The sequence below is a fragment of the Homo sapiens genome, chromosome 4, assembly GCF_000001405.40.
Source record: "Homo sapiens chromosome 4, GRCh38.p14 Primary Assembly".
NCBI lineage: Eukaryota > Metazoa > Chordata > Mammalia > Primates > Hominidae > Homo > Homo sapiens.
This window is the reverse complement of record NC_000004.12, coordinates 103,577,865-103,604,450: the sequence shown is the minus strand read 5'-3', so window position 1 is coordinate 103,604,450 and position 26,586 is coordinate 103,577,865. Positions and strand designations below refer to the sequence as shown.

The 26,586-nt window shown below is 36.4% G+C and overlaps 1 protein-coding gene and 1 long non-coding RNA gene across 2 annotated transcripts in view; one reads left to right on the top strand and one right to left on the bottom strand.

Moving 5' to 3' along the window:
- Positions 1-18,420, top strand: part of TACR3 (tachykinin receptor 3) — a 133,955-nt gene extending 115,535 nt beyond the window's left edge. Inside the window, exons 4-5 of the mRNA NM_001059.3 lie at positions 12,768-12,964; positions 14,457-18,420. Coding sequence (NP_001050.1) covers positions 12,768-12,964; positions 14,457-14,769 — 510 coding nt within the window. The 3' untranslated portion in view covers positions 14,770-18,420. The remainder of the gene's footprint in view (positions 1-12,767; positions 12,965-14,456) is intronic.
- TACR3-AS1 (TACR3 antisense RNA 1) overlaps positions 1-26,586 on the bottom strand; it is a 75,707-nt gene that overhangs the window by 20,001 nt on the left and 29,120 nt on the right. Inside the window, exons 3-4 of the long non-coding RNA NR_186501.1 lie at positions 13,008-13,244; positions 11,019-11,163 (exon numbers count right to left, since the gene is read on the bottom strand). This is a non-coding gene — a long non-coding RNA (TACR3 antisense RNA 1). The remainder of the gene's footprint in view (positions 1-11,018; positions 11,164-13,007; positions 13,245-26,586) is intronic.

Genomic DNA, 26,586 nt, shown 5'->3' with positions numbered 1-26,586 from the left:
AGGTTTTCTTCTAGGGTTTTTATGGTTTTCGGTCTTATGTTTAATTCTTTAATCCATCTTGAATTAATTTTTGTATAAGGTGTAAGGAAGGGATCCAGTTTCAGTTTTCTGCATATGGCTAGCCAGTTTTCCCAGCACCATTTATTAAATAGGGAATCCTTTCCCCATTGATTGTTTTTGTCAGGTTTGTCAAAGATCAGATGGTTGTAGATGTGTGGTGTTATTTCTGAGGCCTCTGTTCTGTTGCATTGGTTTGTATATCTGTTTTGGTACCAGTACCATGGTGTTTTGGTTACTATAGCCTTGCAGTATAATTTGAAGTCAAGCAGCCTGATGCCTCCGGCTTTGTTCTTTTAGCTTAGGATTGTCTTGGAGATATGGGCTCCTTTTTGGTCCCATATGAAATTTAAAATAGTTTTTTCTAATTCTGTGAAGAAAGTCAATGGTAGTTGATGGGGATAGCATTGAATCTATAAATTACTTTGGGCAGTATGGCCATTTTCAAGATACTGATTCTTCCTATCCATGAGCATGGAATGTTTTTCCGTTTGTGTCTTCTCTTATTTCCTTGAGCAGTGGTTTGTAGTTCGGTGATCATTAAAAAGTCAGGAAACAACAGTTGCTGGAGAGGATGTGGAGAAATAGGAATGCTTTCACACTGTTGGTGGGAATATAAATTAGTTCAACCTTTGTAGAAGACAGTGTGGCAATTCCTCAAAGATCTAGAACCAGAAATTCCATTTGACCCAGCAATCCCATTACTGGGTATATACCCAAAGGATTATAAATCATTCTACTATAAAGACACATGCACACGTATGTTTATTGCAGCACTGTTCACAATAGCAAAGTCTTGGAACCAACCCAAATGCCCATCAATGATAGACTGGATAAAGAAAATATGGCACATATACACCATGGAATACTATGCCGCCATAAAAAAGGATAAGTTCGCCCAGCGTGAGCAACGCAGAAGACGGGTGATTTCTACATTTCCAACTGAGGTACCGGGTTCATCTCACTGGGGAGTGCCAGACAGTAGGTGCAAGACAGTGGGTGCAGCGCACCGTGCACGAGCCAAAGCAGGGCGAGGCATAACCTCACCCGGGAAGTGCAAGGGGTAAGGGAATTCCCTTTCCTAGTCAAAGAAAGCAGTGACAGGCAGCACCTGGAAAATCGGGTCACTCCCACCCTAATATTTCGCTTTTCCAATGGGCTTAAAAAATGGCACACCAGGAGATTATATCCCGCACATGGCTAGGAGGGTCCTACGCCCATGGAGTCTTGCTCATTGCTAGCACAGCAGTCCGAGATCAAACTGCAAGGTGGCAGCGAGGCTGGGGGAGGGGCACCTGCCATTGCTGAGTTAGTTGTATGATTAGGTAAACAAAGCAGACAGGAAGCTCGAACTGGGCAGAGCCCACCACAGCTCAAGGAGGCCTGCCTGCCTCTGTAGGCTCCACCTCTTGGTGTAGGGCACAGACAAACAAAAAGACAGCAGTAACCTCTGCAGACTTAAATGTCCCTCTCTGACAGCTTTGAAGAGAGTAGTGGTGCTCCCAGCATGCAGCTTGAGATCTGAGAATGGGCAGACTGCCTCCTTAAGTGGCTCCCTGACCCCCGAGTAGCCTAAATGGGAGGCACCCTCCAGTAGGGCTGGACTAACACCTCACATGGCCTGGTACTCCTCTGAGACAAAACTTCCACAGGAACGATCAGACAGCAGCATCTGCGGTTCACCAATATCCGCTGTTCTGCAGCCACTGCTGCTGATACCCAGGCAAACAGGGTCTGCAGTGGACCTCTAGGCAAACTCCAACAGACCTGCAGCTGAGGGTCCTGTCTGTTAGAAGGAAAACTAACAAACAGAAAGGACATCCACATCAAAAACCCATCTGTACGTCACCATCATCAAAGATCAAAGGTGGATAAAACCACAAAGATGGGAAAAAAAAAAAAGAGCAGAAAAACTGGAAACTCTAAAAAGCAGAGCACCTCTCCTCCTCCAAAGGAACACAGCTCCTCACCAGCAACGGAACACAGCTGGATGGAGAATGACTTAGAGGAGTTGAGAGAAGAAGGCTTCAGACAATCAAACTACTCCAAGCTACAGGAGAAATTCAAACCAATGGCAAAGAAGTTCAAAGCTTTGAAAAAAAATTAGACAAATGGATAACTAGAATAACCAATGCAGAGAAGTCCTTAAAGGACATGATGGAGCTGAAAACCAAGGCACGAGAGCTACGTGACGAATGCAGAAGCCTCAGTAGCCGATGCGATCAACTGGAAGAAAGGGTATCAGTGATGGAAGATGAAATGAATGAAATGAAGGGAGAAGAGAAGTTTAGAGAAAAAAGAATAAAAAGAAATGAACAAAGCCTCCAAGAAATATGGGACTATGTGAAAAGACCAAATCTACGTCTGATTGGTGTACCTGAAAGTGACGGGGAGATTGGAACCAAGTTGGAAAACACTCTGCAGGATACTATCTAGGAGAACTTCCCCAATCTAGCAAAGCAGGCCAACATTCAAACTCAGGATATACAGAGAACACCACAAAGATACTCCTCAAGAATAGCAACTAAAAGACACATAATTGTCAGATTCACCAAAGTGGAAATGAAGGAAAAAATGTTAAGCGCAGCCAGAGAGAAAGGTCAGGTTACCCACAAAGGGAAGCCCATCAGACTAACACCTGATCTCTCAGCAGAAACTCTACAAGCCAGAAGAGAGTGGAGACCAATATTCAACATTTTTAAAGAAAAGAATTTTCATCCCAGAATTTCATATCCAGCCAAACTAAGCTTCATAAGTGAAGGAGAAATAATATCCTCTACAGACAAGCTAATGCTGAGAGATTTTGTCACCACCAGGCCTGCCCTAAAAGAGCTCCTGAAGGAAGCACTAAACATGGAAAGGAACAACCAGTACCAGCCATTGCAAAAACATGCCAAATTGCAAAGACCATCAAGGCTAGGAAGAAACTGCATCAAATATCGAGCAAAATAACCAGCTAACATCATAATGACAGGATCAAATTCACACAAAATAATATTAACTTTAAATGTAAATGGGCTAAATTCTCCAATTAAAAGACTCAGACTGGCAAATTGGATAGCGTCAAGACCCATCAGTGTGCTGTATTCAGGAAACCCATCTCACATGCAGAGACACACATAGGCTCAAAATAAAGGGATGGAGGAAAATCTACCAAGCAAATGGAAAACAAAAAAAGGCCATTACATAATGGTAAAGGGATCAATTCAACAAGAAGAGCTAACTATCCTAAATATATATACACCCAATACAGGAGCACCCAGATTCATAAAGCAAGTCCTTAGCGACCAACAAAGAGACTTAGACTCCACACAATAATAATGGGAGACTTTAACATCCCACTGTCAACATTAGACAGATCAACGAGAGAAAGTTAACAAAGATACCCAAGAATTGAACTCAGCTCTGCACAAAGCTGACCTGATAGACACCTACAGAAATCTCCACCCCAAATCAACAAAATATGCATTCTTTTCAGCACCACACCACACCTACTCCAAAACTGACCACATAGTTGGAAGTAAAGCACTCCTCAGCAAATGTAAAAGAACAGAAATTATAACAAACTGTCTCTCAGACCACAGTGCAATCAAACTAGAACTCAGGATTAAGAAACTCACTCAAAACTGCTCAACTACATGGAAAATGAACAACCGGCTCCTGAATGACTACTGGGTAAATAATGAAATGAAGGCAGAAATAAAGATGTTCTTTGAAACCAATGAGAACAAAGACACAATATACCAGAATCTCTGGGACACATTCAAAGCAGTGTGCAGAGGGAAATTTATAGCACTAAATGCCCACAAGAGAAAGCAAGAAAGATCTAAAATTGACACCCTAACATCACAATTAAAAGAACTAGAAAAGCAAGATCAAACACATTCAAAAGCTAGCAGAAGGCAAGAAATAACTAAGATCAGAGCAGAACTGAAGGAAATAGAGACACAAAAAACCCTTCAAAAGATTAATGAATCCAGGAGCTGGTTTTTTGAAGAGAGCAACAAAATTGATTGATAGACTGCTAGCAAGACTAATAAAGAAGAAAAGAGAGAAGAATCAAATAGACCCAATAAAAAATGATAAAGGGGATATCAACACTGATCCCACAGGAATACAAACTACCATCAGAGGATACTATAAATACCTCTATGCAAATAAACTAGAAAATCTAGAAGAAATGGATAAATTCCTTGACACATACACCCTCCCAAGACTAAACCAGGAAGAAGTTGAATCTCTGAATAGACCAATAACAGGCTGTGAAATTGAGGTAATAATCAATAGCTTACCAACCAAAAAAAGTCCAGGACCAGATGGATTCACAGCCGAATTCTACCAGAGTTACAAAGAGGAGCTGATACCATTCCTTCTGAAACTATTCCAATCAATAGAAAAAGAGGGAATCCTCCCTAACTCATTTTATGAGGCCAGCATCATCCTGATACCAAAGCCCAGCAGAGACACAACCAAAAAAGAGAATTTTAGACCAATATCCTTGATGAACATTGATGCAAAAATCCTCAATAAAATACTGGCAAACCGAATCCAGCAGCACATCAAAAAGTTTATCCACCATGATCAAGGGGGCTTCATCCCTGGGATGCAAGGCTGGTTCGACATACGCAAATCAACAAATCTAATCCAGCATATAAACAGAACCAATGACAAAAAGCACATGACTATCTCAATAGATGCAGAAAAGGCCTTTGACAAAATTCAACAGCACTTCATGCTAAAAAATCTCAATAAATTAGGTATTGATGGGACGTATCTCAAAATAATAAGAGCTATCTATGACAAACCCACAGCCAATATCATACTGAATGGGCAAAAACTGGAAGCATTCCTTTTGAAAACTGGCACAAGACAAGGATGCCCTCTCTCACCACTCCTATTCAACATAGTGTTGGAAGTTCTGGCCAGGGCAATCAGACAGGAGAAGGGAATAAAGGGTATTCAATTAGGAAAAGAGGAAGTCAAATTGTCTCTGTTTGCAGATGACATGATTGTGTATCTAGAAAACCCCATTGTCTCAGCCCAAAATCTCCTCAAGCTGATAAGCAACTTCAGCAAAGTCTCAGGATACAAAATCAATGTACAAAAACCACAAGCATTCTTATACACCAATAACAGACAAACAGAGAGCCAAATCATGAGTGAACTCCCATTCACAATTGCTTCAAAGAAAATAAAATACCTAGGAATCCAACTTACAAGGGATATGAAGGAGCTCTTCAAGGAGAACTACAAACCACTGCTCAGTGAAATAAAAGAGGATACAAACAAATGGAAGAACATTCCATGTTCATGGGTAGGAAGAATCAATATTGTGAAAATGGCCATACTGCCCAAGGTAATTTACAGATTCAATGCCATCCCCATCAAGCTACCAATGACTTTCTTCACAGAACTGGGAAAAACTACTTTAAAGTTCATATGGAACCAAAAAAGAGCCTGCATCACCAAGTCAGTCCTAAGCCAAAAGAACAAAGCTGGAGGCATCATGCTACCTGACTTCAAACTATACTACAAGGCTACAGTAACCAAAACAGCATGGTACTGGTGCACAAACAGATATATAGACCAATGGAACAGAACAGAGCCCTCAGAAATAATGCCGCATATCTACAAATATCTGATCTTTGACAAACCTGACAAAAACAAGAAATGGGGAAAGGATTCCCTATTTAATCAATGGTGCTGGGAAAACTGGCTAGCCATATGTAGAAAGCTGAAACTGGATCCCTTCCTTACACCTTATATAAAAATCAATTCAAGATGGATTAAAGACTTACATGTTAGACCTAAAACCATAAAAACCCTAGAAGAAAACATAGGCAATACCATTCAGTACATAGGCATGGGCAAGGACTTCATGTCTAACACACCAAAAGCAATGGCAACAAAAGCCAAAATTGACAAATGGGATCTAAGTAATCTAAAGAGCTTCTGCACAGCAAAAGAAACTACCATCAGAGTGAACAGGCAACCTACAGAATGGGAGAAAGTTTTTGCAACCTACTTATCTGACAAAGGGCTAATATCCAGAATCTAAAATGAACTCAAACAAATTTACAAGAAAAAAACAAACAACCTCATCAAAAAGTGGGCGAAGGATATGAACAGACACTTCTCAAAAGAAGACATTTATGCAGCCGAAAAACACATGAAAAAATGCTCACCATCACTGGCCATCAGAGAAATGCAAATCAAAACCACAATGAGATACCATCTCACACCAGTTAGAATGGTGATCATTAAAAAGTCAGGAAACAACAGGTGCTGGAGAGGATGTGGAGAAATAGGAACACTTTTACACTGTTGGTGGGACTGTAAACTAGTTCAACCACTGTGGAAGTCGGTGTGGCGATTCCTCAGGGATCTAGAACTAGAAATACCATTTGACCTAGCCATCCCATTACTGGGTATATCCCCAAAGGATTATAAATCATGCTGTTATAAAGACACATGCACACGTATGTTTATAGCGGCACTATTCACAATAGCAAAGACTTGGAACCAACTTAAATGTCCAAAAACAATAGACTGAATTAAGAAAATGTGGCACATATACACCATGGAATACTATGCAGCCATAAATTATGATGAGTTCATGTCCTTTGTAGGGACATGGATGAAACTGGAAACCATCATTCTCAGCAAACTATTACAAGGACAAAAAACCAAACTGCATGTTCTCACTCACAGGTGGGAATTGAACAATGAGAACACATGGACACAGGAAGGGGAACATCACACACTGGGGACTCTTGTGGGGTGGGGGGACGGGGGAGGGATAGCATTAGGAGATGTACCTAATGTAAATGACGAGTTAATGGGTGCAGCAGACCAACATGGCACATGTATACATATGTAACAAACCTGCACGTTGTGCACTTGTACCCTAAAACTTAAAGTATAATAATAATAAAATTTAAAAAAAAGGATTCTAATCAAAACAAGCAGTTTTGTTGTGTTTTGTTTTTTGTCACACCAAGCTGACCATTTTTATTCCAAGCATTTAGAAAGAATCAATCTTGTACCAACAGAGAAATGCAAACCAAAACCACAATGAGATATCATCTCACACCAGTTAGAATGGCAATCTTTAAAAAGTCAGGAAACAACAGGTGCTGGAGAGGATGTGGAGAAATAGGAACACTTTTACACTGTTGGTGGGACTGTAAACTAGTTCAACCATTGTGGAAGTCAGTGTGGCAATTCCTCAGGGAACTAGAACTAGAAATACCATTTGACCCAGCCTTCCCATTACTGGGTATATACCCAAAGGATTATAAATTATGCTGCTATAAAGACGCATGCACACATGTGTTTATTGCGGCACTATTCACAATAGCAAAGACTTGGAACCAACCCAAATGTCCAACAATGATAGACTGGATTAAGAAAATGTGGCACATATACACCATGGAATACTATGCAGCCATAAAAAATGATGAGTTCGTGTCCTTTGTAGGGACATGGATGAAGCTGGAAACCATCATTCTCAGCAAACTATCGCAAGGACAAAAAACCAAACTGCATGTTCTCACTCACAGGTGGGAATTGAACAATGAGAACACATGGACACAGGAAGGGGAACATCACACACTGGGGACTCTTGTGGGGTAGGGGGACGGGGGAGGGATAGCATTAGGAGATATACCTAATGTAAATGACGAGTTAATGGGTGCAGCAGACCAACATGGGACATGTATCCATATGTAACAAACCTGCACATTGTGCACATGTACCCTAAAACTTAAAGTATAATAATAATAAAATTTTAAAAAAAGGATTCTAATCAAAACAAGCAGTTTTGTTTTGTTTTGTTTTTTGTCACACCTAGCTGACCATTTTTATTCCAAGCATTTAGAAAGAATCAATCCTGTACCAACAGACAAATGCAAACCAAAACCACAATGAGATATCGTCTCACACCAGTTAGAATGGCAATCTTTAAAAAGTCAGGAAACAACAGGTGCTGGAGAGGATGTGGAGAAATAGGAACACTTTTACACTGTTGGTGGGACTGTAAACTAGTTCAACCATTGTGGAAGTCAGTGTGGCGATTCCTCAGGGATGTAGAACTAGAAATACCATTTGACCCAGCCATCCCATTACTGGGTATATACCCAAAGGATTATAAATTATGCTGCTATAAAGACACATGCACACGTATGTTTATTGCGGCACTATTCACAATAGCAAAGACTTGGAACCACCCCAAATGTCCAACAATGATAGACTGGATTAAGAAAACGTGACACATATACACCATGGAATACTATGCAGCCATAAAAAAGGATGAGTTCATGTCCTTTGTAGGGACATGGATGAAATTGGAAATCATCATTCTCAGTAAACTATCACAAGAACAAAAAACCAAACACCACATATTCTCACTCATAGGTGGGTATTGAACAATGAGAACATATGGACACAGGAAGGGGAACATCACACTCTGGGGACTGTTGTGGGGTGGGGGGAGGGGGGAGGGATAGCATTGGGAGATATACCTAATGCTAGATGATGAGTTAGTGGGTGCAGCACACCAGCATGGCACATGTATACATATGTAACTAACCTGCACATTGTGCACATGTACCCTAAAACTTAAAGTATAATAATAAAAATAAAATAATTAGAAGATAATATTGCCAAAATTAAAAAAAAAAGAATATGACCCCTAGAGTTTTCTAAATAGTTGTCAGCATTTTAGTTAATTTCCTAAACTAATTTTTGCTTTTACAACCCAAACCTCAAAATCATCCATCCTACACTAATTTAATGTAATGAATAAGAACAACTGTAGGCATTTCAGTTCTAATCTGTACGGTATACAAAAATCTAAGATCTTTCCCCTTTGATACATGAAGGAATGGTATCCAAAGTTCATTCTCACTAATATATGAGGACATGCAGTTCCATCCTGCCTACGTAGTTAGATTCTTAACTGCTAAAAATAGGCAATGTAACTTTGTAAGGGCTACATTACATGTCCCCACTTTCCTCCTTTATCCTGCTTGTAAGTTTCCAAGGGTAATGGGTGGCTACCCACTTAATAACATTATTAAGACACGATGAGAGATTTGAACCTTCTCTGTCCCAGATTGTCATCTTGCCTAAAAATCTCAAGAATTTCTTAAAGTTTACCACCTGATTCTTTTTTCTGTTTAACAGTTCATAGCCTGCCTGCACTAGTACCATTGTTCAGCCATGCAATACAGTGGTAACTGCTCATAGCACCTGCACATCTATCATTGCTCAAGCTTCATGCTTCAAAGAGCTCTTTTCTTTGGCATTTTATCAGGAGGGTGATTTCAGTTTTGTGATTTCAGCATTTCACAAAGCAAGACAATTTCTCCCACCCAAGAGCCTACGTTTGCATTCACATCAAAACTAGAGTCCAGAGAGTTCATCATCTGAAATAACACTACAAGATTTTGTAAGCAGAGTGCCAAGGTAACAGTATTATATAGAAATAAGTACAGAAAATATATTATAGCAGCTGTTTCACTTATAAACATTTCTGTAGAGTATTTTAAGCTTTTCTTAAAATTTTTAAAATATGTTTATAAATCTTTCGCAAGAAGTTCTAAAGGCCCTCTGTATGTGAGTTAAAAGCTATCTGAAGTCTCTGTTCCATTTTCCACATGCATTTTAATTTTTGCATGTTTTTCTGAACTTTTTGCACTATGAAAATTGAAATTTATCTAAAAGGACTGATAGCCTTAGTAGGTTTTCAGCAATTGTCGGAAAACAATTTTGTGCATAGGGAGTTTGTAGTCAGTCTGTATAAAAGATTCAAATACAATATATGTTAACATTCTCAAAGATATTTTACTTGCTCTTAACATTTGCTTAGAATGAAATCTAATGCTTTCATGTGCCCCATGAAAATAATTATATTAGGCCGGGTGCAGTGTCTCACACCTGTAATCCCAGAATTTTGGGAGGCCGAGGTGGGTGGATCTACAAGGTCAGGAGTTTGAGACAAGCCTGGCCACTATGGTAACACCCTGTCTCTACTAAAAATACAAAAATTAGCCAGGCGTGGTGGCACGCTCCTGTAATCCCAGCTACTTGGGAGGCTGAGGCAGAAGAATTACTTGAACCCGGGAGGCAGAGGTTGCAGTGAGCCAAGATCGCACCACTGCACTCCAGCCTGGGTGACAAGAGTGAGACTCTGTCTCAAAAAAAAAAAAAGGTTATTTTTGGACTCATTCTCTTTTTAAATTTGTTTGCCTTGAAAGCAGAAATAGCAGTAAATTCCATGCTTATTTTACATACACATGTCCATCTTAAATGAAAACCAAATGATACTAGTAATAACTGACTAAAATCTTAGACATTACTTAACTGTCTGCGTCTTTCAGTTTCTTTTGTTTTATAGTCACTTTCACCTGTTCATTTAAAAAATTTCTGAGTACCCTTTATGTATGAAGTCCAGTCTAGGTGCCCGAAATATACAAATGAACAAAACAAACAGAAAATCCTTGCTCTTTTGTAGTCCAGCATCAGGAGACACAAAATAAAGAAAAAACATAACAAACTGAAGAGAAAGAGCAAGCTAAGAGGTTCTGGGAGGGCTGGAAGGGCAGACTGTGATTTTAAATTAATTGGTCAGAATAGCACTCAAAGAAAAAATGACAATTGTGCAACGGCTTGAAGGAGGTGAGGTACTTAAGCCCTGGGAATCATGGTTAGAAGAGTGTTCTAGGTAGAGGGAGGAGCCAGGGAAAATAATCTATGGCTGGAGCTTAACTACCCTGTTCAAGGAATAGTAGAATGCTCACAAATTCAACAATGAAAACATCAGTAGACTAATTTCATTTAGTCTAATATCCTCTGAGCCTACAGTTAGTAGGCATGTATTGAGTCATTCTTTATTACAATAAACTAGTACATTCTCATAAATATTATTTTAAATTTTATCTGCACATGTTCATACTCACCACATTTCAATGCATGCATTTTTATTAAAATTATACATTTCCTTTTTTTCATTACATTGTAAACTTCAGGATGAGGAATTGGTCCTCAACCACTATATTTTCAATGTTATTTTCTAGACTCAAGATATTCAACAGATGTTTTTATCTGTAAATAGAGGGTAAAAAGACAAGAAAGATCTTAGTTACATGAATCACAGTGGTCAGATCTTTGGGTTTTTGCCTCAATTTCCTAATGCGCAATTGAAAGACAATTAATTAATTGTTAAATACGTAAAATATTGCATAAATGTAAATTAAATCATTTGTTTTTCACAAATATATGAATTATGAATAGGAAATCTGAGAAATAAAATGCAGAAATACAAAAGCAGTTCTTCAGAAGAAAGCAATGTAATTTAAAGAACACTGGGAAAATCAAAAGATATTATGTGATGTGGCCAGTGATGACATTTTGTGAGCTGTTGACCTGGATTTTCAACTCTGATGGCCAATTTCCATCTGCTCAATGCTGGCCACCTGGATGGTACAGTGATTTGGCCCTTAGGGAAGAGTTACCTTCCACATTGATCCATTTCATGCTTTGCCTATTTCTAAAATCATGTCTCTCCTGACTAAACCTTGCCAACCTTCATCTGAATCCCTAATTTGCAGTCAAATGACAAGTCCATTTCATAAATACTGTATCTTCCTAGTTCTGAGGTGCCTCATAGGCCCTTTACATCAGAGCTTTCCCTGATTTGTTTTAATCTGACTGCAGGTAAGCTTCAAAATTGTTTAGCTTAAAGTATCTTATTTTAAACTTTTTACTATTTCCAAATTCCCAAAAGAGATATGAACATTGTTCATTGTACATTGCTATTTATTATTCATTCATCCTATATATATTTATCTCCAGCTATATATCAAGGACTGTGATAGATGCTGGGAGTAAAAAGATAATTAAGACATTCTGTCTTCAGGAATTTTAGGCCTAGTGGAAGAGAAATAACAGCTGACATTCTACTTTGATTAGAGCTGTCCAGGATATTATCATTCACAAGTATACAATCAAAGGAAATGGCTTATGCTTACCAAAGTCATAAAAGCTAATGCATAAAACAGTTGCATAAACCAATAATCTATTTGCAAATCTCAAGTTAGTATTTTCCTCACACTAACGTGAATATTTACACATAATCACTATTTGGGGAAATCTTCCCCAATATCAGATTATAAGAGAAACCAAATTAATATTCATAAGGTTACGTAGTGAGCAGGCTATTAAAGAAATCTAAATAGTCTTAAGCTATAGTCAGGCTATAGAAGAGTACTGACTTGAACAAACCCAGCCCTAGCAGCCTAGTAAACCTCCATAGTGACTTAACAGTTGATTTCCTGGAGATAATATCTCCACTATCGTACAATGCAGGCTACACAGCCACATCCTAGTTCCTATCTCTCTCTGTTCCAGGCTCTCTGGGTTTTTGTAAACACTGATTTTCTTCAGGCCAATCAAAATATATTTGTCCGTGTTTGAGTTAGCACTACCCATTCACTTAGATAGGTAGAAATGAATAGTGACATAGCATAATTTCTTGAGACTTACCTTAGGCAACTGTCCGTATATTGCTTCACCATTTTTTAATATATTGACTATTCCCTAGGCATGATGTGTATTTAACTGTATTGGCAGAAAAGCATGATTTGCAATAAGCTATTGGAACTATTATGAGTATTATATTTGTCAAAAATGACTTTTTTTCTTTATAGGTTGTCAAAATGATGATTATTGTTGTCATGACATTTGCTATCTGCTGGCTGCCCTATCATATTTACTTCATTCTCACTGCAATCTATCAACAACTAAATAGATGGAAATACATCCAGCAGGTCTACCTGGCTAGCTTTTGGCTGGCAATGAGCTCAACCATGTACAATCCCATCATCTACTGCTGTCTGAATAAAAGGTAAAAACAAAACTACGAAATGCAAGTTGCTTGTCACACCCACCTTCACTGGAAACATACAATGTTGTTCCATTTTCTTGGTTCAAATTCAAAATGCAGAAGGAAGGGAAAATTTAAGAATTCACTGAGAGAGGCACAGGCTTTATCTTTCAAGACCCCCATACACACTTTATAAAGCATCCCACATTAATAATTAGATGCCCCAAATAATGATCTTGGGGTTCTAACTGGATGATTCTTCTATGGGCCAACTTCTTCCTCCAAAATCTCAGAATTTTACCTGCCAAAGAAAAAGAAGTGCCCTCATGATTAAAGGAGAATTGAAAATATGCTCAAATCCTCAATGAAATGAAGTTACTTCCTAGAAATTCTTGAATAATTTCTATAAGATGGAGAGATGATGGCATATGTGAGCGGACTTTATTAAAAAGGATATGTTGTAAATAAATAAACTTTGAAGTAGAAGGTTTTGTAAAAACAATGGGAACTCCAATCCTCCTTCCTGCATTGTGAGGTGGGGTGAGTAAGAGAGCATGCAGCCTCTATGGAGATGGCTTGTGAAGAAATCACAGTGGTCAAGGGAAAGATGTTTATAAAGTTAAAAAATGAAAAGTGAGAATATTTGTAGTCAAATGTAAGACTAGAAAAAAAAGATAAAATCTGCTTTCCAGATAAAAACACCTTGGTTGTACTGGTCAGCACATGAAGGGATAGGGTTAAATTTCATAGGGCTCGTAAGTCCTGTAATAAACCAATGTGTTTTTTTCACAAGTAGAATTGGGACTTTATGTAAGTAACTGCATGAATTAAATCCTAAGCTCTCTTCTCAGTTGGGGTTCTACCACACTGTGCCTTAAGTTTGTTAAATACTTAATTAACTCTTGCTTTTTTTTTCACTAATTGCATAAGCCATATCTCAATTCCTGACACCCCACAAGCATTACATCCACTTTTAATTAACTTCATTTAATGGTTTACAAAGTTAAGGATTTTGCACTTTCATATATAATTAGATAAAAATCATCAAGATTAGCAATTCTAACATTAAACGAGACTTTAATTTATAAATGTGTAATCATTTCTGAAAGAAACTATTTTGAAATATATCATTTTTAAGTGCCTTAACTGGCCAGCCTAATTCAATTATATTTATGTAAATGTATACAATTATTTTAGAAAAATGTACTGTTTCTTTAACATATTGATTACCTGATGCTATGCATTCGCTATTGATGACTTCTCACTGATGGGAATGAGATGCTTTTCATTGCTGGGAATCAATGCTTCTCATTAATGGGAAATTAAGATTCAATTCAAACAAGAACTAAACGACTAACAACAGTACTGTGACATAAATTCTAAGAGTCTGGCTAAAAACCAAACTCAAAAACTGAGTTGTTATAACTGCCTTAGGTAGAATTTTCTGTGGCAGCTGAAAGACATATCTGCTTGAAAAAATAACTTTTTCTTTCTGTGGCCTGCTTTTCCTCAGATTTCGAGCTGGCTTCAAGAGAGCATTTCGCTGGTGTCCTTTCATCAAAGTTTCCAGCTATGATGAGCTAGAGCTCAAGACCACCAGGTTTCATCCAAACCGGCAAAGCAGTATGTACACCGTGACCAGAATGGAGTCCATGACAGTCGTGTTTGACCCCAACGATGCAGACACCACCAGGTCCAGTCGGAAGAAAAGAGCAACGCCAAGAGACCCAAGTTTCAATGGCTGCTCTCGCAGGAATTCCAAATCTGCCTCCGCCACTTCAAGTTTCATAAGCTCACCCTATACCTCTGTGGATGAATATTCTTAATTCCATTTCCTGAGGTAAAAGATTAGTGTGAGACCATCATGGTGCCAGTCTAGGACCCCATTCTCCTATTTACCAGTCCTGTCCTATATACCCTCTAGAAACAGAAAGCAATTTTTAGGCAGCTATGGTCAAATTGAGAAAGGTAGTGTATAAATGTGACAAAGACACTAATAACATGTTAGCCTCCACCCAAAATAAAATGGGCTTTAAATTTATTCTTTGAAAACTCTAAATTATTATATGCAATGAACAAAAATATGTCAGGAAAATACTTGTAAACTCGCCAGTCTATCTCATTTACAAATTGCAATATACATTTGTGACATTAAAATGATATATAGTTTTTCCAAGAGATTAAAGAATCTTTAAAACATAATATTGTAAGTGAAGGGAAACAAAATCTGTATAAAATCTGTATAAAATAGGCTTTTTTGCCTAGAGATATAAAATGGGAAAAAAAGTTAAATGATTCATTTTCCCACTAGAGTAATGGAAAATTAACCTCAAGAAGTAGGAACTGAAAATCTTTGCTCAAGAAAACTCATTTTGTAGAATGTAAAGATTTAAAGATTTAAAGATTTCTTCCATGGCATTTAACTGAAAAGGAAATCTAGTTAAATCATTAGGCAAATGTATATTTCATTCTCTTGATTTTTTTTCTGAGAAAGTGAAATTTTAAAAAATTATATACTTTTTGACCATTACTTATTTTTGAATACCAAGCTAAAAAGTAGTCAGTTAAGACCCTAAAAATATGAAGAAAATTCCTATCATTTTTTATTTTTCACAGATTTTTTAAATAGCTAGATTATAAAACAGTAAAGGTACATTCCAATAAATAGAGGAAGAATACTATTTATGTTCTCTTCCTCTCCCCTCACTGAAAATAGAATAAGGACTAGGAGAAAATATCTTCAAAGGCAACTCCTTAGGGAAAAAAAGTCACAAGTGTGACAAAAGACTATATGGTTGAAAAATACCAATATATGTTACATATGAGTAAACTAGGCAAGGTGTAGACAAGTGAATTACCTCTTAGAAAACGAATCTGCACAATAGTTTGGATACATGTAAACTAATAACAGCTGAGCAAGAGGGTGAGTTTAACACACATCCTTCCACAGAAAGACCTTTTCTTTCATTTGCTTAGATTATTCAGAAGTCTTACCAGAAAGAAATGAGATAATAGTCCTAAGAAAGCATCACATTTACTACAAGAAGATATATACTAGCACATTTCTGAGACTCATAACATAACAAGAAATACTTTTAAGTGTAAAAAGTAACATCCAGGCCTCAGTGCTTACAGATCATCTTTCCTTGAATTAGGGATACTGTTAATCCTGCTCAAGAAAGCAGAAACTTTTTGAGAATGTGAATGTGTAGTACAAACTTCTCCTTTAAACTCTTCAGTTTGATTTTTAAAGATATTTGTCTAAAATAATACTCTCTAACAAACACTTTACTGTTGTGCCTCCACCGATATTAAAACAAAATATTTTTGAAGAACAGAATAAAAGCAAATATTCAATGGCAAATCATGGTCTATTTCTCAAATCTCTTCCCTATTTTGAAGCCAAAACCAGAAATATCCAATTGTTACAAAAAGTTCGGAGTCTAAACAAGCTAAACATATGTGTTCCAGCTGAATTTCTTCTGATGATACCAATAAACAAAGAGACACACACACACACACACACACATACAAATGTGCCTACACATTCAATCATTTAATGAATGCAACAACTTCAAAGAATTAAAATCAAATACTGAAATGATAAGTGGTCATTACAGCATTGCCATATGCTCAATAAAGTCTGTGAAGCTTGTGTGCATGTTTTAAATAAGCAAATTTAATATATAGTATCTAATTGTTTGAATATAATGTTTTTGAATGTTCATTCTTAAAACATATATTTATCATACAATGTTAAAGTGTCAAGAAAAAGCCTAATATGTAAAAAGTTATTATTTTCTTAAATTTATGAATGATATGGTACTAGCATTAATTAATGTTTTAGACATATGGAACCATATTCAGCTGTAAAATATGAATATGAAGTTTAGCCCTCAAATTTAATGTCATCAGCCACTACCAAAGTATCATACATTTGAAAAATATAACTCCTGGCCCTCACATATTAGAGAAATTCAGTAGAATTTTCTAAGACATTTATTTCTAAGGAAAAATACTGGCCTCGTCAGTTGGATTGTTGGTTTGCTTTGGCTTCTGTGAACATACATATTGTTGTGTTGCTTACCGAGCACCTCCCTTCTAGTGTGACAGAAATACCCAGACAGTATTTTTTCAATGCTTTCCAGAAAAAAACTGGCATCATTCACTCACTACTCATGGCCCTTAAACTGAGACCTATAGGCAGAATTTTTTAAGTTCAAAAATTTAAACGACAATAATAAAACAAGAGTGAAATATAAAAGAGAAGATTTTTCACTCTTTTGTCTGCATTTTGACAATAAGAATTACAGAATAATGCACAAAATCAAATTCAGTGAGATTCATTTTTAAATAAAGTCATCCCAGTGTTTTCATATTTGCTAAGCTTGGAAAGAATCTGCCTTCAAAATTTACTCTACCCTCTGTTTCTAAAGTTCAGTATGAATCTTTCCATTGTTTGAAGGCAAACACTGGCTCAGACTACTAGGCAGATGGTTAAAACAGCCCAGGTTTTTTTACTTAGATCAGTATCAGAAAAATTCAAAATATTTTTAAACAAATATGAAAGAATCAAAAAGGCTTACATCATTGTAAGTATTCTCTTTTAAACAAAATACATTAAATCAAAAATAAACATTGCTTACTATTTTGCATCTGGACAAAGTACAAGATATTGAAATTACCTGTATGGGAAAATATTAAAGCGGACATAATTGTTACAGAATTCACTCTCACACTTTTTTATTTTTTACCAAGTACAGCACACTGTTGCATTATTCCATCTTCTAACTTCATGATGGTGACATTTCTGACCCAGCAGCTGAATTCATGTCCTTTTCCAAATCCTGCCAATGTCTTAGAAACAGTGAACTGAGCAATTTCAGAGTGAACCCCGCCCTTACAAAGCACATAAAGAATACCAAGAAGCTTGGTATCAAGCCTATGAAATACAAAATAAATGTGAAAAATAAATGCTGGCCAGCTCAACATTTGAATTTAGTTTTTGCAAATGCAAAATTTCCTCTAAAAATTTATGATTAGTACCTGGTAAACTATTTCATCAAATAGAAAAGCAGGAGACTTACAAACATTTCTCACACTTCTAACAGTAACAATTTCCTACTTATCATTGATAATATGTCAAAAGCTAAGGAAATCCAGAATGACATGGACCATGTAGAACAATAAGGTTGGAATAATTTCCCTTAGGGCCAAGCAGGAATAGAGAATAAAGTTCAGAAGGGCTGTACAAGGTCATTAGTTTTGTGTTTTCATACATATATATATATATATGAAAAATCTGTTTATATAAGAAGTAAATGTATATAAAGTTTGTAGTGAATAAAGTATTTTCAAGTTGTGGTAATTATATTGAATATGTTTAATGTATTTACACCCTTTGCATATGTGATAATGTGACAGATTTAATTTCTATTTTTTCTTTAAAAACATTAAAACTAATATTAAAAGTAAAAGAAGTCTTACTACTTTCCTATTGGCTAGTAAAATATATGTCATGGAGGGTTCTCTCTTTTCTAAACACACTCACCCAGCCATTCCTCAAAAACTACATTGTGCTTCCTTGTTGATTTTTTCCTCATAGAAATGTCTAATTTTCCTGTTATTGATTCAGAAAAAAAATTTATGGGGACAAAATTCTCAAAATATAAAAAAAATTCTGCTTAGAGAGCTGGTGAATTGGAAGGGAGGGCCAAAAGTGCATGTAGCTGAGTAATGAAGCATAGAATTTTTGAGTTGTGACAACCGGGATCGTCCAACCAACAGACTTGGGTTACATCCAATCTTCACCAACAGTTTACCAGAGGACTTCAAGCAAGGGATTCTCTGCTCTGAGCTTCACTTAACTCATCAGTGAAGAAGGGAAAAATAACAATTTCTTCAAAGTGCTGATATGAGAATTAAATGAGCTAAAGCATAAGTAGGGCAGAGCCAAACAAAAAAAATAAATGTTCAAAAACATTATTACAATAGTGTCCACACTGTTTCCTTTATACAGTTGATTCTTAATAAAGTAACCAGAATGATTATTTTAAAACTGCATCACACCATCTTGCCCCTCTACTCAAAACCCTCTACTGCCTTCCCATTTAACTCAAAGGAAAAGCCAAAATTTTTACAATGGCCTAGAAGCACTTTTATGATGTAGCCTTTTCTAACTTTCCTCCTTTCACCTATTCTTTCCTGTGCTCATCAGCATTCACGGATCCATCTACATTAGCTTCCTTATTGTTCTGTAACTTTGCTAAACATGCTACAACCTCAGGACCCACACTGACTATTCCTTCTCTATAGAATGCTGGCCACCAAGATAGTGGCATGACAAACTTCTTCATTTCACCAAATCTTTCCCCAATAAGGCCAATCCTGATTACCTTATTTAAAATTGCATATCTTCTCCCCCTCAGCAACATGCACAATTTTTCCCTATCCTCCATCCTGATGTTTATTGTTTCATAGCATTTATCACCTTCCAGAATACTACATAATTTAATAATTCATTATATTTATTGTATATTTCCCCAATTAAAGTGTAAGCTCTATTAGGGTCTGGACTCATTAATAGTTATTGAATGAATGAATGAGTTTTTAAAAATAATAATCTGAAAATAAATTTTAAAAGAATTGATTTCTGAGAATGATGATTTTATGAGAATATGAAAATAAAAAATTTATTTTCAGCTTATTTTATTATTTTTAAAAACTCATTAATTCATTCAATAACTATTAATGAGTCCAGACCCTAATAGAGCTTACACTTCTCAGCAAACTATCGCAAGGACAAAAAACCAAACACTGCATGTTCTCACTCATAGGTGGGAATTGAACAATGAGAACACTTGGACACAGGAAGGGGAACATCACACTCCGGGGACTGTTGTGGGGTCGGGGGAGGGGGGAGGGATAGCATTAGGAGATATACCTAATGCTAAATGACGAGTTAATGGGTGCAGTACACCAACATGGCACATGTATACATATGTAACAAACCTGCACATTGTGCACATGTACCCTAAAACTTAAAGTATAATAATAAAATAAAATAAAATAAAAAAAGAATTGATTTCTTATCAGAAATTATGAAGGCCAGAAGGCAATGGGATGATATTATTTAAGGTGCTGGAAAAAAATATTCTAATCCATCATAACTATCCTTCAAAAAATGAGGAAGAAATTAAGATGTTCTCAAATAAACAAAAACCAAGAGAGTCCTTTATCAGTAGGCCTGCCCTATACAAAATGCTAAAGGATGTTTTTAAGGTTGATATTGAAGCACACTAGGCCGTAACTCAGTGTCATTGAAGAAATAAAGCTCTCTGGTGACTACCTGGGCAAATATAAAATCCAGTGTTACTGTATTGTAGTTGCATTTTTGATTCATAATTTCACTTTTAATTTACAACACAATTTAAAAGACAAATGCATAAAAATAATTATGATCTGTTGTTAAGAACATGATGTATAAATATATAATTGATGATAACAACATACAAGTGGGGACAGAACTGTCCTGGAGCAGAGAATTTTCTATGCTATTGAAGTTAAATTGATATCAATTAAAACTAGATTGTCATAAACTTAAGATGTTAAAGTATTTCCATGCAACTGCAAATAAAATATCTTTAAAAAATAATACAAAAAAGGAAATGAAAGGGGACACAAAATGGTTTAACTACAAAAAATACATTGAATACAAAAGGAGTCAATAAAAGAGGAAATTAGAAACAAAAATGGCCTAACGCTTACAGAAAACAATTGCAAAATGATTGAAATAACCCTTTCTTCTCAGTAACTGCTTTAAATGTAAGCAGATTAAAACTATCCAACCAAAAGGCAAAAACTGGCATAATGAAAAAAAACAGTGATCCAACTACACACTTTCTACAAGAAACTCCCTTTAGATCTAGAGCTACAAATAGGATAAAATATATTTCATGTAATACAGTAACTAAACAAGAACTGAGTTAGCTATACCAACAGACAAATTAGACCTCAAGTGAAAAACTATTTCAAGGGACCAAGAAGGATATTACACAACTCTAAAAGGCTCAACCCATCAAGAAGATATAATAATTGTAAATGTAAAAGCACCTAACAACAGAGCTCCAAAATGTATAAAACATATATTGACAGAAATAAAGAGAACAATAGCTCTACAGTAATATAATACTTGAAGACTCCAACACCCTCCCCTTTCAATGATGGACAGAACATCTACAGAGATAGTTAATAAGAAAATAGAGAACATACGCAATACTATGAACCACCTAGTTATAACATACACATATAGAAACCATGGAAAGTGAAATCACAAATAAGAGGGGACTACTGTACACCACTGTCTTATCTGGTTCCCCAGCTTGTGGATAGCAGATTATGAGACTTTTCAGCCTCCATAATTATTTGCTCAATTAGGGAATTGGAAATCAAAACCACAATGAAATACCACTTCATGCCTACTAGGATAGCTATAATCAAAAAGACAGGCAATAACATACTGTGGCAAGAATGTGGAGAAACCGAATGCATTGAATGTGGATACATTAAATTGAATTGAGTGTAAAATGGTGCAGCCACCATGGCAAACACTTCATCAGTTTCTCAATATGTTAAACACAGAGTTACCATAGGACCCCAGATGTTCTACTCCTAGGTATCTAACCAAGAGAAATGAAAGCATAAATTCACACACAACTTATACACAGACATTCATAGCAACATTATTTATAATAGCAAAAAAGTGAAAGCAACCTAACTACCTATCAACTCATGAATGGATAAATAAAACATGGAATTGCAATAAAATGAAATTTTATTTGGCAATCCATAATAAGAAATTAAATACTGATATGTATTATGACATAGACTAATCTCAAAACCATTATGCTAAGTGGAAGAAGCCAGCCACAAAAGACGATATACTGTGTAATTCCAATTCTATGAAATAAAAAGAGTAGGTAAATCTAAAGAGAAAGAAATTAGCTTTGCAGTTGCCTGGTTGCCTAGTGCTAAAGGAGAGAGGAAGGAGTGTAAAAGGATAATGACTGTGAAGAGGCACACAATTTCTTTTTGGAATGATGAGAATGTTTTAAAATTAGATTATTGGGTTGGCTGCACAACTCTGTAAATATACTAAAAACTACTGGATTGAACATTTAAACGTGTACATTATATATCAATAAACCTATTTTTTTTAAAAAAATAGGAGTTTTATTAAGCAGAAGTCAATGACCTATGTCTTTTAAAGGAACTCTAAGGAAGAAAATTATCAAATCAGCAAGCAAAATAGTTGAAGAAACCTTAAAAAGTAACTTACAAAATAATGAATCAGTTTCTGTCTTTGCAAATGGAACTGGAATTTTTTATTAATATTTCCTTTAATTATGAACATAACTCTGAAACCATACATAAAAATTTCCTTCAGAAAATTCCGGTCCCTAGGTAGAATTCACCCCAGACTAAGAAACATGATAAATAGGATTCCAACCACATAATAAAAAATAATCCACTGATTCAGTGTTTTTAGTTGTGAGCAGTATAAACTAACTCAGATAATCTTAGTAAAAATAAATTTTTATTTATTTACTTGTGTTTGTGTGTTTGTTTACAAGAGGGTTTACTCTCTTGCCTAGGCTTGAGTGTAGTGATGTGATCATAGCTCACTGCAGCCTCAAATTCCTGGGCTTGAGTGATCCTCCCACCTCAGCCTCCCAAATAGCTGGGACTACAAGCATACGCCACCACACCTGGATACATTTTTTTAATTTTTTTGTAGAGACAGGGTCTTGTTATGTTTCCCAGGCTAGTCTCAAACTCCTAGCCTCAAGTGATCCTCCTGCCTCAGCCTCCCAGAGTTCTAAGATTATAGGCATGATACTATGTTAGGAAACTTGTAAACTTTGAGAGCTAGAAGAACAAGTGTGGGGCCTGGTAGTCACTGTCAATACATAAATCACACCTCAGAACCATTAAAGTAGCTACACTGCCACCAGAACTGCAGGGCATAGTCACTGTCACTCAAAAATGTTTTATCACCAAAACCATGTAAATGATGCTAACACTGAAATTGTTGCTTCTTCTCCCTCTGGAAATTGGATATTGATGCTACTGCCTCTCCACCCCAATGGGAATACATTCTCCTGTGTCTCTGCTGCTTTGCCTCAAGAATTCTCAATCCAAAGCCCAGAGTGTGCATATCAAATTGGGATAGCCGAAGTTAATGTGCTTGCACTTAGCTATGGGACCAACTGAAAATAAGCCTTGGGTTTTCTGCTTCTAAAATGAGAGGCAAGATCTGCTTCATAAGCTGGAAATTCCTCAAACACACATGCTGAGAATTCAACAAGAATGGCAAATATCTTTTATAGATGCCTTGAGAAAAGAAACTGTACCTAAATGTTATGTAGACGTCTTTAGTAAAATTACAGTTTACAATTTTCCTTTTATTTTCCTGTGTTAACCATATTTTCCTTAATAAGCATGTACTGCATAAGCAATAAAAATTTTAAAAAGCATTATTCTGTGGAAAAAGTGAGCATTCTATTTTAACTGAATTCACAGGAAATGTCTTTATTTTTTTCCAACGTTATTGTCACTTTGAGTTTCAAGCATGAAAAATTGCTACATGTTTTAAAGTTTAGAATAGGTGGCTATTGATAGGCAGATAATATCACAATTAGGGAAATTAACATAACTATCGTCTAGATATAATGTCACACTCACAAAGGTTTTGTACGAATTAAAAAGGAACTGACAAGTCACATAGGCAATTATGAACAGCCCAATCTTCCCCTAACTGAATTGAGCCTCCACCTTGTCTGAGTTTTCAGGAGGAAAATTGAAGACCTCTTTTGATTACCTATATCTTTTATTTTCATTGATTTGTTCTTCTCAGTTTGTAGCAAGCCCACAGTTTATTCTAAAATGTACTGGAAAGATTATAGAAAAGGATAGTAGTGCATGAATGCAAAGTCACCAGAATATTGTTATACGTTCTGAATCATAAATCCTTTCTGTACTAGAAATATCCATTGTTGAGTTTCCTCTTCCTCCTGTTTTCAAATAGCCTGAGAATGGATGCATGTGGGCAATCCTAAGTGGCCTGAGAGGATGAGTGCATTTTAATGAATTCATCTCTGAGCACGTGTTTAAACACTAAGCTGTGGAAAGCACTAAAACATTTAAAGCTTCAGTTTTGTGCTCTTAAAAGGCAGTGACCCCCAAACATAACCCTTTATTTAGCAGAGCACCATGAATTCTCATATATGCAAGCGTAATGAGCGGAGAGAGTTGGCAGTATGCATGACTGAATTCATTGATTTCAGCATATGCAATCATGGTAACAGCAAATTCTGAGCACCCAAGAAGTAACTGAGAACCTGAAATAGGGAAGGAGAAACAAGGTGGAACAGCCCAGTGGTGGTTCAGTGAGGATGCTGGACTTTAGGCAAGTATGTGGGCTTTAGGCAAGAAAAACTAACTCAAAATGTTGGGTCCTAGTGGCAGAACCCAGGCGTCTCAAAGAAAATTTTGCATACTTAAAAGTTGTTTACATATTGAAAGAATGGGTGCTAGAATGCAAATCTTGACTAATATGGCTCATTATTAAAGAATAAAAGAATTGGGCTAAAATTAAACTCTCTCTGCCTACACAATAAAGAGAGAAAACAAAGAGTGTAAATTCCCTAGCCAAAGCCTTTTAATCCAAAGCCAAGCCAGAATAACATTGTTTTTTTGTTTTTGTTTTTGTTTTTTTTAATGAGATGGAGTTTTCTCTGTCGCCCAGGCTGGAGTGCAGTGGCGCAATCTCCACTCACTGCAAGCTCCGCCTCCCAGGTTCATGCCATTCTTCTGCCTCAGACTCCTGAATAGCTGGGACTACAGGTGCCCGCCACCGTGCCTGGCTAATTTTTTTGTATTTTTAGTAGAGACAGGGTTTCACCGTGTTAGCCAGGATGGTCTCGATCTCCTGATCTCGTGATTCGCCTGCCTCAGCCTCCCAACATTGTTTCTTTACTTAAGAATAGTCATCCAGGCTAATGTGGTCCAAAAATTTGTGATACTTTTGAGTTACTACTACACAGTTATTCCATCTCACCTTACCTCATTGCTTTGTGTTGCATCTAATCCATCCCATCCTATCCATCCCATGCTACCCCTTGTCAAGTGAGTGCTCTGCCTTTACCCTACCTTTACACTATCCCAGGGTTGCATCTGCAATATTAATAGTAGGAACAGCAAAGAGATAGTTGTCTGCAAGCTCATTAAAAGCTTTAAAAAGAACATGAAGAACAAATAATTTCAATTTAAAGATCAAGGTGATAGTACAGAAAACACAGATCTGTGAGGAAAACGCTAAAGTTGACAGTTTAAGTACCTCAATAAAAAATGAAAAATAATTTTAAAATCAAATGCACCATTCATTTAAAGACAAAAACTACACTGCCAATTCAAAGCCACCAAAAAATGAAAGTTACTTTTAAGAAATTGACTTTTAAATGCCAAACATATATTTTTCAATAGTTATAGTAATAATCATTTAAATATATGATACTGAAAATGTATAACACCTTAAGTGGTTTATTTTTCACACTAAGCTCCAAAATAAGATTTTTGCTTTTGGAGGATGTGGTTCTTCTCCAAGATATGAGTCAATGAATTGAACTCTTTCCCTCTTGTGGTTTTGGTACTGCCAAAATCCAACTCTCAATGTGTTTTCTTGCATCAAGGCATGAGAAAAGAGAAGTCTTAGAAAAGATACATCTAATTCCTAACTGCCTTCCACTGGCAATACTGGATATATGATACCACCTAATTGCAAGGGATCCAGAGAAATACAGACCCTGACTAGGCAGCTACTTCCCAGCAACAACTTAGCACTGTGGGGGAGGCAGCATAACCGGTGAAAATCTAGCCTTATGCTACAGATTACCTACCTGGCTACCAAATATCTAGGAGCACCATTAGTGCCCAACACAGAACATACCCTGTCACATCCCATTTTTGACATTCCCAAATAGCTTCCAGTTACTTCATCCTATTCAAAGTTGAGATATCCAGCTGGTGTGTGGTCTTCTCCATCTGACCTTAATGGGGCTACTCGTAGTTCTATAATCTACGATCTAAAATGCCAAGGCATCTGTCCTGCTGTACATCTAATATACAGTGGTGGAGAAAGGGTAACATACATAACATAAACATAATTACAAACTCAAATTCAGAAAAGGGAACAATGGAAAGACACAGCAGGCACTGGTCTATAGCAATGACAAAGTTCTAGAGGTTAAGTATTGTGTGCATTTCCTCTCCTGGCAGTGGTGTATTTCAATATCTGAATTTAAATGGCTGTGCATCACAAAGATATATGTAGATGTAAAAATGTATATCATTAGCTTCCCTTACTGATAATGGATATTTAAACATAAAATAAGTGAAAATATTCCTTATATGGATATAAGCATAAAAATGAGGTCAAATCCTAATTATTTTTCACTATGCAAAAATTTTTATTAATCTTCTGGTCTGTAATGTTCATAAATCAACATTCAATCACTTATACTTAAATGCTGAAAGCTGCTGTATTATCTTAGGTGTACAACTATTTTAACATGCCTTATATAAAC